Below are 14,241 nucleotides of genomic sequence, written 5' to 3' on the forward strand. Positions count from 1 at the left end.
CTGCCTACTGTATTAGATAGCTGCCATGCATAGATAGTACATACTCCCTGATGATAGCATCCTAAGATGAGCTGGAATCCTTTTCCTCAGTAGTTTTGAGAAATATAAAGTGGGTACAAAAGCCCCATCTAAGATACTAGTACACTAGTAACTCACATCCCCCATAGGTCACCTCTATTCCTTGATCTTACCATGTTAACCACTTAGCCACAGGTTAAAGATTTTTTTCTCAACTTGCCTTTTTTCAGATTCTGATGAAGAAACACATAACGATCTAAAACTCCAAATGCAGTCTTTCTCATTACATGAAAATTTTTGTTCTTTAAAAATAGTCCTGTGTGCCATTAATATTTATACCATTTTGAAATCAATAAATACAACTATATAAAATATATAATGGTAAATGATACTATGTAAATAAAGTACATTTTTATGTCAAAGACGTAAAAAGACATTACTTACTGTGCTTTTATCTTTCAGAAGTTTTTCAATTACTTCAATTAACATTTCCTTCTGCTCTGGATCAAGGCTAAAAAATACAAAAATAACATATTAATTTTTCCCTTTAATTCTAGCTTTACATGATGCTCACCAATTCAAGGATGTTGAGAAATTTTTAAAGAGGGAAAGGAGAGCAAGAATTATAAGTTAGAAATAAAGAAAAACAAATAAAATGGGATGGTTTTTCTCATGAATGTGTCCTCATCTTTCCCTCTAATATTGTTCATATTAACTAAACCAGATATCAATGGTTTAGTTAAGATAGTACTGAAAGAACAAGTTCACTTCTAAAAGAGTTGGAAAACTTCAAGAAAGCGACTGTAAGTAGATAAACCACAAACTCTTTTCAACTGGGAGGAAAAAAATAACTAGATAGCAGTCATTATTTTACTATGCATACATACTTCCCAAAAACAAATATGGAGAATTTCCAAATAAGAATTTTATATCATACTAGTTCACTGATAGAGACATGCATTATAAAATCTGCCAACTAAAACTAGGAAAAATAAGAGGTAGTAATAAGCTTAAAACATTTGAGATAGAATACTAACAGACTATAAGCTCAAGGCAAGGAGAGGCAAGCATTGAGGCTGGAATATACTGGTGCCCAATGATAGAAGGACTTTTAAGCCGTTAGAGTGAGCATGGATCTTATCCCATAAGTTTCTAAGGAGAAAAGGTGAGTGAGAAGCATGATAAAACCTTGTCTGGCAGTTAACATAGGAATATGAGGTTTCACTTTCTACAAACATACACATTTATTACTAAACATTATAATTATCTGGACAAACTTTTTAATTCTTTCAAATTTCAGCTTAAGTCTTCCTTCTCAAAGCAGTATTTCACTACCAATCCCATCTCATTACATCTTTACTTTCCGGTAACAAAATATGATCATCTCTGGTCCCTGTCCTATCAAAGACATTGCTAGTGTACCTTTGTATATACATATATATCAAGTGCTAATATCTTATTCATTATAGATTGCCTTTAATTATTTGGTATGTCTTTGATCTTCTTCCTCAAATACATGATATGCTATTCATAATTAAGTGCCACATCCTCTACTGTTTTCATACATCTAAATACACATAGCACAATACTGTGAATACAACACCAGAAACAGAAGAGAGTCTCAAAAAGCTTGAGGAATAAATGATAGCTGAAAATAATACCAAATTGTTGTAGACAATTCTATTTGGACAGTAAATTTTCCACAGAGATCAGGGCATTGTATAATATTGCATAACATTTCTAAAATATCACACAGATATGGTATAGCACACTATATTTCAAATCACTACACTTTTTAAAATTACTTAATAAAATAGCTCTGGAAAAGAATTAGACAACGAAGGGAGCAGCAGGAACAAAGATGGAAGAAAGGAAAACACATATAAGTGAGTTGAGAGGATCAGACACTTAAGATTCTACCCTAAACAGGAAAAAAAAATCTCAATTTTCTAATAATACAAGCATATGTGTACATGAGATAGACTATATAAATGAGAATTCAAATTCTGATTATTCTTAAGTTATAAAATCTATAAATTATCACAGGCTCTAACAGCCTCACAAATAAAAACCTGCATAGGGTCTCTATAGCCAAAACGAAATTAAAGATGTGTAAGGAACATTTGCAGCAGGGGGAAATACCATCATACAGTCACTGGATTTACTTAGTGTAAGAGCAGCCTACCTAAAAGAGCGAATAAAACAAGCCTCTGTGGTCTATAACATTCCATGTAACATCAGAGATCTTTGGTATATTGTTAACAATGCACCTACCTGTATAATTTTTGTATTGCATGGGCTGCATTCTTCCTAACATATGGTGATAAGTCAGCAGAAGCTTCCTTAATAGCAAGCATCATGATAGGTACAATAATTGGCACTCTAATACTTGACAGAACTCTCAAAGCGCTTGCACGAATTAGTTGGTTTGGGTCCTAAAAATAGTGCAAAAATATTCACCAAAATTTCAACTTTACAATATTTTAAACATATCTTTCAGACACAGTTAATAGGTGCTTAAAGGGTGTAATATGACAATAGCAAAAGAAAGCTACTTAATTTAAAATGAACAATTAGTATATAGGAATGGGAAAAAAAGACAGACATAAATGTTTACTTCTTTAATAATGTTTTAAAGAAAAGTAATAGTTATAATTCTAGTTGGTCATTTATTACTAAATATGCTGGGTTTTTATACTTTCATAATAATAAAATGCTGCAGGTCATCAATTTCATGTTTAAAAATGTCTTATAACCCCTTTTGCGTACTTTCAACAACTAGTATAATGATAAACAGCTCTTTGAAGCATGAAAATAATTATATTGAATATAAACAAACATACAGAAGCTGTAACATATACAGCAAGGTTTCAGTTGGTTGTATAAATTATTTTCTAAGTGTACTGAGTAGGCACTATAGGAGGCTTTTAACTCTTTCAAGACACTACTGTGCTATTTAGTGGATTATCGCTCCACTTCTTTAACTGACACACTTTCAACTCTGCAGAAACCTTGTAGCTATTTGCCTACTCACTCCATTATTTACCTTCAGAGCTCGCTGAAAAGTGCTTATGGACAGGAGTGCAAGATCCTGCTGTTCTTCAGCATATCGAACCAGGTAAACATATACCAACTTCTTGATCTGTTAAAAAAAAATCATTTATTCATAACCAGAGTGAAAATTTAAAACTCAGTATTTGCTATACCAAAATCCATGCTCAATTCTTCTCAAGTAAATAACTGAATCTGGTCACATGTTAGATTGTAAAATAAAAATAATATTTTGTGGGATAATAAGTACAACAGGAAAAGCTTTTAAAGTAAGCATTTTAATAGTCCAGTTCACAATAGCAATAGCCTATCAAAGTGTCCCTTCCTCTTGAAGGGAATAAAAAATCCCTGAGCAGATCTCATATAAGAATATTAACTAAATTGTAAAAATATTTTCAAAATGAGGGATAAAAATAAAAGAAAGAAGCCAGGCATGGCGTACATGCTTGTAGTCCCAGCTACACAGGAGGCTGAGGCAGGAGGATCACTTGAGCCCAGGAGTTAGAGGCTATCCTGGGCAACACAGAGAGACCCTACCTCTTTAAAAAATAATAAGAGAAAGAATTTGGGCCCAGGCCACTAACTATATGTTATGGGAACTTGTTTCCTCATCTGTTAAAAGAGTCCAGAGCCCTAACTCTGATTTTTATGGTAATACTCACATTTCAACACGCATTACATGATATTTTCAGTCCAGTAAGAATAATGTGTGACTATGAATACCAATTTAACGTAATAAAAATTCAAGAAGATTGGATGTGTGTTCTGGAAACAGTTTTTTTTGGTTTTCGATTTTTTTTCTGAGACACAGTCTTGCTTTGTCGCACAGGGTGCAGTGCAATAGCACAATCACGGCTCACTGCAGCCTCAACCTCCTGGCCTCATGCCATCCTCCCACCTCAGCCTCTCCAGTGGCTGGAACTACAGGTATGCACCACCACACCCGGCTTTTTTTTAGGATTTTATAGAGACGGGGTCTTCCTATGTTGCCTACCCAGGCTGGTCTCAAACTCCTGGGCTTAACTGGTCCTCCCACCTCAGCCTCCCAAAGCACAGGGGTTACAGGCATGAGCCATTATGCCCAGCCTTGAAAACAAGTTTTAAAGGTAATTTAATCACTAAGTTTACAACAAAATTATGAACAGAAAAAGAAATAAACAAAAACTAGAATTTGAGTTGAAATTTATCCATTGCTTCCTTCTAGCACTATTTATAGCCTGTATCTACCTTCTCAAATATCTTCACATTCCTGATTACCCTTCTAAGATACCAACACAGTATATACCTAAAAGTTATGTACTCAGCCAGGCACAGTGGCTCACGCCTGTAATCCCAGCACTTTGGGAGGCTGAGGCAGGCAGATTGCCTGAGTTCAGGAGTTCAGGACCAGCCTGGGCAACATGGTGAAATCCCATTTCTAGTAAAACAAAAAAAAAAAAAATTAGCCAGGCACAGTGGCATGCACCTGTAGTCCCAGCTACCTGGGAGGCTGAGATGGGAGAGTCACCTGAGCCTGGGAGGTCGAAGCTGCAGTGAGGCAGGATTGTGCCACTGCACTCCAGCCTGGGCAACTGGAAAGAGACTCTGTCTCAAAAATTTAAAAAATTTAAAATTAAAAAAAAAGTTATATACTCAAAGAACACAAGAAATGAGGGGAAAAAGTTGGAGATAGCTGGAATTGGTGCTGGAAATATAAAAACAGTACTATACTGGATCATATTTCCAGTCATACTAACCAATCTGGACTACTTTAGAGACAACTGTCATGACCTTCCTTCCTTGTACCCTAATTTCTCGTGAAACATAACAGCTTTAGTTCCTCTACCATCCTGTTTGCTCCTTCCTAAACTCACTCCAATTTTTTTCAGCGTGACACTACAAACTACAAATAAAGTCTAAACAGAACAAACTAGATAAGAACTTGCTCCAGATGAGGTACTTCCACAGATATGACTAATTCTTGATTAAAACCATACACCTTTTCCAAATGTACTGCTGACCAAATCAAAATCCAACTGTCCTCACGGAATTTTTTTAAAATTATTTTAAATGAAAGGCAAAATCTTCCATTTATCTACAGAAATTGTCAACAATTTAGATTCAACACATCTTGGCACCCTGTTAAGATAATTTGAGATGATAATTTTATAATCCAAACTATTTCTCAATTCATAAGTACAAATGAAAACTTAATGAGCAAACAAACTTTGTACATCTTCATCATTGATAAATATGTTAAACACAACCATTTTAAGTTGATATCAATCCATCTATACTATACGGGTAGAGTTATAAATGAAATGAAAAAACCTTTTTCCAATTACTCTTCAATGTTGAATGGCTCCACAAAACCTTAAAAACAAAATCTAAAGCTCTTAACCTAGTACTCAATACAGTTTATAATCTGTTCGAAACCTCCTTTCCTAGTCAAACAGAAATAGTCCCCAAATATAACTTGCACTCTTTATCTCAATCTCCACTCAGGTTATCCCAAGTTATCCCGCTTCACCAAGTTCCACTTCCCCAAGTTCCACTTATTAAAATCTTCCACAAGAGCAAAAATTAAACAATAAAGAGTCCTAGTAGATAAACAGTAAACAAATGACAGTTCCTCCATATAACACTATACTATTCAGCCACTATACAAAATTAAATAAATCTGTATGACATTGAAAATATATCCTTGTGGCCAGGCACGGTGGCTCACACCTGTAATCCCAGCACTTTGGGAGGCTGAGACGAGCGGATCACCTGAGGTCCGGAGTTGGAGACCAGTATGGCCAACATGGTGAAACTCCATCTCTACTAAAAATACAAAAAAATTAGCCAGGTGTATTGGCCCATGCCTGTAATCCCAGCTACTGGGAAGGCTGAGGCAAGAGAATTGCTGGAACCCGGGAGGCAGAGGTTGCAGCAAGCCAAGATCGCACCACTGCACCCCAGCCTGGGTGACAAAGCAAGACACCATCTGAAAAAAAGAAAAGAAAGAAAAGAAAATATGTCCTTGAAAAAGGTTTTTTGTTTGTTTGTTTTTTGTTTTTAAGACAAAGTCTCACTCTGTCACCAAGGCTGGAGTGCAGTGGGGCGATCTCGCGACTTACTGCAACCTCCGCCACCCAGGTTCAAGCGATTCTCCTGCCTCAGCTTCCCAAGTAGCTGGGATTACAGGCACGCACCACCACGCCCAGCTAACTTTTGTATTCTTAGTAGAGATGGGGTTTCACCAAGTTGGCCAGGCTGGTCTTGAACACCTGACCTCAGGTGATCTGCCCGCCTCGGCCTCCCAAAGTGCTGGGATTATAGGTGTGAGCCACCATACCTGGCCTAAAATTTTTTAAAGGTGTAAAAGAGTATGCATTGTATGATCTCACTTCTGTATAAAAAAAAAATAGATGCCCACATACTGTATTTTATGCAATCTAAATAGACCACCAATTGTAAAACATACCATTATATTATGGACCACAAAGGAAAGAACAACAACAAACAAACAGAAAACACTACCCATCGTAATCACCACCAGTTGTTAAGTTAAATCCCAACTGCAGAAACTTTAAAATAGCAAACATATGTCTTAGAATGGACATAATATGGTAATAATAGCAAATCCTTATAGGTAGCATTAACTACATGTCAGACACTGTTCTAAATGTCTTACATAAATTAACTCATTTTATCCTCACAACTCAATAAACAAGTATTTATTCTTACTTTACAGATAAGAAAATGAAACACAGACAGGGTAAGTAACTTGACTAAAGTACCGTATCTATTAAATAGAAGAACTAAGATTCAAGTCAAGTAAGCACAAAATTGAGAAATCTATACAATAAAATGTTAATAGTAACTATCTCTGTGTGATGGTATTAACCAGTGACTTTCACTCTTTACATCCTTCTATATTATCTTTAAAGGAATATTAATTACTTTGGGGTCAGATAAAACAATAAAGATATTTCACGATAGGGGTGAATCTCATCTTTCCAGATGGCCCTCAAAACAAAATAATAGTGCTGTGATTCTTCTAATACTTTAAATTCTTTAATTATAAAAAGATTTCAAATTGGTAATGTTTTTAAGTTCCCACATTCCTCGGAGAGACAGGTTTTTCTAAAGCCTTGGCAACATGTAGCCACCAGAACTGTTTTAAACCTGTTCTACAGAACAATAAAAAGGCACCTGAATGAACAAGTTTTCTTGCTCAGCCTCTTGCTTGTGAAAGTTAGCCAGTCAGGAACAACTGCACTCCCATACACCCACCTCTGAGTGCCAATCAATCAAGAGCAGTCTCACCCACATGACCATGCATCTACAGATGATATCAACCCACTTAGGACCCTGAAAGTCCATCAATCCCTGAAGACTGCCCTTCCCAATAATCCACAATAATATCAGCAATCTCTATGCCCAGAGAAGCTGTGCCTAAAAAGCACAGTTGTCCCTTGCTATAGTAAGCAATAAATTGTCTTATTTCAGATATCATCCTTCAATACAACCTACTGAAAAGTTCCAAGACTAGTTCACTGAAGCCTCATATAGGCTTCATTTATGTTTTATTCTTTCTTTCTTTTTTTTTTAGACAGAGTCTTGTTCTGTCTCCCAGGCTGGAGTGCAGTGGCACAATCTCGGCTCACTGCAGCCTCTGCCTCCTGGGTTCAAATGATTTTCCTGCCTCAGCCTCCCGAAAAGTTGGGACCACAGGTGCACACCACCACGCCCAGCTAATTTTTGTATTTTTAGTAGAGACAGGGTTTTGCCATGCTGGCCAGACTAGTCATGAACTCCTGACGTCAAGTGATCCACCCACCTCGGCCTCCCAAAGTGCTAGGATTACTGGCGTGAGCCACCACACCCGGCCGCCTTCATCTATGTTTTTCAATTGCTAACACTACAATTATAAAATTCAGGAAACATAACATCAGTGCATTATTTATTATCTAATAAATAATCCATATTTAGAAATTCTCAATAACATCCTATATTTATAGTATTTTTTCTGATCTGGGATCATGCATCATATTTAAGTTTTCATGTCTCCTTGGTCTTCTTTCATCTGGAGAAGTTCCTCAGCCTTTGTTTTTCTTTTTTCTTTTTTTTTTTTTGAGACGGCGTTTTGCTCTTGTTGCCCAGGCTGGAGTGCAATGGCATGATCTCAGCTCACCGCAACCTCCGCCTCCTGGGTTCAAGCGATTGTCCTGTCTCAACCTCCAGAGTAGCTGGGATTACAGGCGCATGCCACCACGCCCAGCTAATTTTTCTATTTTTAGTAGAGAACGGGGTTTCATCATATTGTTCAGGCTGGTCTTGAACTCCTGACCTCAGGTGATCCGCCCACCCCGGCCTCCCAAAGTGCTGGGATTACAGGCGTGAGCCACCACGCCCAGCCCAGCCTTTCTTTTCTAAAAGTACCCTTGTCATTCTGGCTAGTATTAAAATTAATTAGGAAATACAGAATATGAAAGGAAAACTGCCTGCGACAGCTTTTGTTCTTCACCTCAATCTGCTATAACTTTCCAGCTAGAATTTAAATGTGTAAGGCCCTACATCTACATTATATTACTCGTTTAATTCTCATATCTATCCTAGGTACAATTATCTCCCTCTCAAAGATAAGGAAAGTAAGGCTCAGAGGTTTATATAACTTGCCCAAAGTCACAGAGCTAGCAAGTGCAGAATCAGGATGCAAACAGGGGCATGTTCCTAACTACTACATGTTGTGGCCTATGATGGCAGTCCGCAGATATTTCTATTAAGGTACCCCTAACAAAAGAGGAGACAACTCTTCCCCTAAGAGCATCTGAAAACCTAGGAAAAAAATTATATTTTATTTATAATATATACATTTATAAAAGAAGAATGCTTTAAATCACTGTTTTTTAACCCCAATTGCACATCTTCTCATTTGAAAATGACATCATTGCAGTATTATTATTAAAAATCCAACAAGAAATTTACAACTGTAGTAAAAGGTAGTAATGACTTCATTCCATAGAACCCCATCTCTATTATCAATGTACTTTCCATCTATATTCACGATTAGACTCTTTACACTTTCTTGGTTTAAATTAGTGCTTCTCAACCTTCAGAATTTTTCAAACCCAAAATACACATATTTGTGAAACACTGTTCCTTTAAATGATCACTTGGAACCAAGTGATGTTACACAAGAATACAAATATAGGTATAAGATGGAAACCAAATGATTCAAACTATACTTAATGTTTCAGATTATATTTAAGTGTAAATATAAGTTTTTCAAATTCTTAGATCAGTTTTAGAAGCGCTTCTCTAACTATTTGAGGATAGATGACTTTTTCCTCAACTAGATTTAAAGTTCCTAAGAATACAGCAATGGTAGAAAGCAATTAACACGTGGTTGACTGATTAACAGCAGTCAATATATCAAATATATATCAATATATCAGCAGTTGATTAACAACAGTTTCAATATATCAAATCAACACATAATATGTATTTAACTAAGTAATTTATCCCATCTGCCTGGAAGTGAACTTGAGGCTATTTAGTACAACAACCATTTCTTATTCATCTGTATATTGCAAGGACTTATTACATTGCTTGGCATATAGTAAAAGCTCAATATTTATCAGCTGGATCACATTCCAGACCAACTGTAGACTGAAAAAAATTAAGACATTTCCCATTAGAGTGCTACATCTAGGATCTAACTTCTCACACCAGTGGGTATAATTCATTGAACAGCAAAGTCTAGAAAGACACCAACATACTATGAAGAAAACAACAGGTTTTGGAAAGACTGCCTCCAAAGTCTTTAACTTGTTAGTCTGGTTGTTTTTTTGGTGTATGTGGGTGTGTGGGGAGGGGTGTGTGTGTGTCAGTGAGTGGGGGTGGAGGTGTGGGTGTATGTTTAAAGAGAGATAGGGTCTCGCTCTGTTGCCCAGGCTGGCCTCAAACTCCTGGGCTCAAGAGAGACTCCTGCCTCAGCCTCCCTGGTAATTAGGACTCTAGGTGCACACCAACACAGCTGGTTTGGTTTTTTAAAATATTCTTTTAAAATATTCTTTCTCTTTACTAATTATATTCAGATCTCACTCTACAGTTCTCTGGAAAGTTTTGAGAAAGAATGGGTCCAGTTCTCCCTTATCCCCTTACAATTTATTTCTCAGCAATACCTTTATTCACCAAGTACAGCCAGCTTTTAAAACTGGATTATGAACTCTAGAATATATCACAGAGTTTATATTGGCAACACTGAAACATTCAGAACCACAGCTGAGCTAGCAGGCATTGCAATAATTACTCACTATTGGAGAAGGATTTCTGTGACTGTTATGGCAAAAAGCATAACAATATTAAATCACAGAAGGTTGCGAAACACTAAATTTGTTCTACTTCTGTTATAAGAATCAATCAATATTGACCACAAGAGGCCTATGCACTGACAGGCTGCAGGTGTGCAAAGAAAGCCTACCTTCCCTGAAACCATTCTGTGACCAGAAATGGGAGTAGTTAAAGCTCCGTGACTACATCATTCTCTGATCGGTTACTTTCATTCAATGTTATAACACTCCTTGCTGTAAAGCTAATCATAGCAGAGCCCCAGTAGGCTGGAAGAACACAGACAGATCTGTTTAATTAGCTTATCAATACTAGTACATCAAACTTCATGAGTTATTGACTAAACCTTTGATTATTTTTGTACTATAACCACTGATTGCTTACTAGGTCACTTTTGGTATCATTTGACATTTAATGGTAGATGACGTACAGCTCACCTGTGTGTCTAAAGCAGCATGTACTTGTAAAAATGAAATTTTGCACTTGAGAGGAGTGAAACATTCAATTTCTGAACATAAGTTTTAAGAAACTTATGTCAGTTTTCCCAAAACATTAAAGGCTTAACCATGTTTCAAAAAAATAAAATAAACAAGGTATTTAAAGAACGAAAGAAATCCAAAACAAATAGACCAATAATTATGTTTATATTGACATTTTTGTAACAGAACATTAGGCAGCTACCAGAATCTAATTGTAAAGGGAAAATATGAGCAAATGGAAAAGTTCTCCTACTGATAACTATTTGAATAGTAAAACAGTTCTGAAGGAACAATAATTGGTATGGAATTTTCTGTTTACAACAAGAACTAGAAGTCCTCAGGGAACTAGCTACTTTACCACCAATTTCTAAGGACTTCGTCATTTCTACCCATAACTAAAACATAAAAGAAAAAAAATATGCCAATACTAGGTACCTCCCAAAGGATGGCTAATGCCAGATGTTGATAAGGAGTCAAAAATATTAAGAGACAAAACAGAGGGAGGAATCATCAAACAGGAAAGATGGCGCTGAATGGGCTAAGATGGGTTCTGAAGTCAAGCAACCTAGCTTTGGATTCTGACTGCTACACACTGGCTGTGTGACCTTGATCAGCTAATTTAACCTTTCTGCCATCTTGTCCTCATATATAAAATACAAGTAATGACAGAAACAGCCCCACAGGGTTATTTGTGAGGATAAAACGGAGTAGATCTATGCAAGGCACTAATAACCTTGGTCAGACAGGTTTTTTTAATGTTAGCAATTATTCCTATTGCTACTAAGAGACTCTATTCCTGATAATACTAAGACAAGCTTCACCTATGCCTCATAATTTTTCTAAGTTAAATGTTTATTTTTTCCAGATATTTGGACTTTCTTATACCACAGGCCATAAAACTAATAAACATATCAAATTAGAAGCTCAGATATCATGGCCATAAGGTGTCAAAGGGAGAGTAGTTGAAAATTATCAATTCAGAATTATATATAACAAGCACATAGTGTTTAATAAATATCTACTAAATTAATCATAAGTAAAATTGATTTTACTCAAGAAATCTACAAAGAAAGTATGGTTTATCAAGTCATTTAAATCCAGTACTAATTTAATCTAATTCATAAACTGGCCACAAGAATACAACTGTTTTGATTTTGGCTTATCCAACTTAGTCTAATTGAGTTTATAAGAACTATTTCATTTTGATAGAAAAATTCATCTATCTGAAATACAGAATGCACTTCCTATCTAATGAAAAAAATTAAGAGCTGGGCACAGTGGCTCACATCTATAATCCCAGCACTTTGGGAGGCCAAGGCAGGAGGATCACCTGAGCCCAAGAGTTCAACACCAGCCTGGGCAACATGGAGACCTCGTCTCTACAAAATATTTTTTAAATAGCCAGGAGTAGTGGCACGCACCTGTGGTCCCAGCTACTCAGAAGGCTGAGTCAGGAGGATCACTTGAGCCCAGGAAGTGAAGGCTACAGTGTGTTGTGTTCATGCCACTACAGTTCCCCCCCAAAAAAAGCAAGAAGCATACTTTAAAATATTAAATCTTTTTTTAAAAGTAGGTTTAGGCTGAACATGGTGGCTCACACCCATAATCCCAGCACTTTGGGAGGCCAAGGTGGGCAGATTACTTGAGCTCAGGAGTTCCACACCAGCCTGGGCAACATGACAAAACCCCGGCTCTACTAAAAATACGAAAAATAAATTAGATGGGCATGGTGACACAAGCCTGTAATCCCAGCTGCTCGGGAGGCTGAGGCAGGAGAATCACCTGAACCCGGCAGGCAGAGGTTGTAGTGAGCCAAGATCGTGCCACTGCACTCCAACCTGGGCAACACAGCGAGACCCTGTCTCCAAAAAAAAAGTAGGTTTAAAGTACCTATCCTTAAAATGCTATAATCCAGTGATGCATTGCTTAACAATGTTCTGAGAAATGCGTCGTTGGACAATTTCATTGTTGTGCAAACACCACAGAGTGCAACTTACACAAACCTACATGGTATAGACTACTACACACCTAGGATATATGATACAGACCAGGGGTCTACACACCTAGGATATATGACATAGCCCAGGGGTTGGAACCAGGCCACACAGCAGGCAGTGAGCAGTGGGCAAGCAAGTGAAGCTTCATCTGTATTTACAGCTGCTCTTCATTGCTCGCATTACCTCCTGAGCTCTGCCTACTGTAAGATCAACAGCAGCATTAGATTCTCATAGGAGCACAAACCCTATTGTAAACTGCACACAAGAGGGATCTAGGCTGCGTGCTCCTTATGAGAATCTAACGCCTGATGATCTGTCACTGTCTCCCATCACACCCCAGATGGGACCATCTAGTTGTAAGAAAACAAGCTCAGGGCTCCCACTGATTCTACATTATGGTGAGTTATATAATTATTTCATCATATATTACAATGTAATAATAATAGAAATAAAGTGCACCATAAATGTAATGCTTTTGAATCATCCTGAAGCCATCCTACCCACCCTGGGTCCAGAGAAAAATTGTCTTCCACAGTACTGGTCCCTGGTGCCAAAAACGTTGGGGACTACTGATATAGCCTATTGCTCCTAGGCTACAAATCTGTACAGCATGTTACTGTACTCAATACTGTAGATAACTATCACACAATGGTAAGTATTTGTGTATCTAAACATAGAAAAAGTACAGTAAAAATACAGTATTATAATCATATGGGACCACTGTCATATATGCCAAGAAATGCAAGTTGGAAAAAAACTAAAATGAAATTTTAAAATGTTTCTAGTTAACCCAAAAAAGGAATAGGAAGAATAGAAGACAAAAATAAAAGAGACAAAGAGAAAAGAAAAAGAATAATAGTAGACTCAAATCTAAGCAGATCAATAATTATATTAAGTGTTAGCAAAATAGACACTCCAATTAAAAGGCAGAGATTGACACACGGGATGTAGGGAAGGCTGCAACTATACGCTGTCAACAACAGGTGCACACTAGATATAAACAGACAAGCTGAAAGCAAATGAATAAAAATGATAATAAAAAGAAATGAGAAGGTTGGAGTGGCAATACTAATAACAAATCAAATATGCTTTAAGACAAAACATATTAACAAAAATAAAGGATTTTTTTATAATAAAAAGGTCAATTCATCAGGAAAACCCAAAGAGTTATGCCTAATAGGAGTACTTTTAAAAATAAGCAAAAAATACTAAATTAAGGGGAAAAATAAAACATTCCAGAATCAGCCCAGGCACGATGGCTCATGCCTATAATCCCAGCACTTTGGGAGGCCAAGGTTGGCAGATTGCTTGAGCCTGGGAGTTCGAAACCAGCCTGGGCAACATGGTGAAGCCCTGTCTCTGTTCAAAATATGAAA

General features: G+C 36.9%; 1 protein-coding gene across 3 annotated transcripts in view; it reads right to left on the reverse strand.

Moving 5' to 3' along the window:
* The window catches only part of AP3B1 (adaptor related protein complex 3 subunit beta 1), a 294,177-nt gene that overhangs the window by 224,558 nt on the left and 55,378 nt on the right, over window positions 1-14,241 (reverse strand). For all 3 annotated transcript variants that reach the window (NM_001271769.2, NM_003664.5, NM_001410752.1), the window contains exons 4-6: window positions 3,065-3,160; window positions 2,293-2,453; window positions 463-529 (exon numbers count right to left, since the gene is read on the reverse strand). In NM_001271769.2, the coding sequence (NP_001258698.1) occupies window positions 463-529; window positions 2,293-2,453; window positions 3,065-3,160 (324 nt within the window). The remainder of the gene's footprint in view (window positions 1-462; window positions 530-2,292; window positions 2,454-3,064; window positions 3,161-14,241) is intronic.

Source organism: Homo sapiens, chromosome 5, assembly GCF_000001405.40.
Source record: "Homo sapiens chromosome 5, GRCh38.p14 Primary Assembly".
Taxonomy (NCBI): Eukaryota; Metazoa; Chordata; class Mammalia; order Primates; family Hominidae; genus Homo; species Homo sapiens.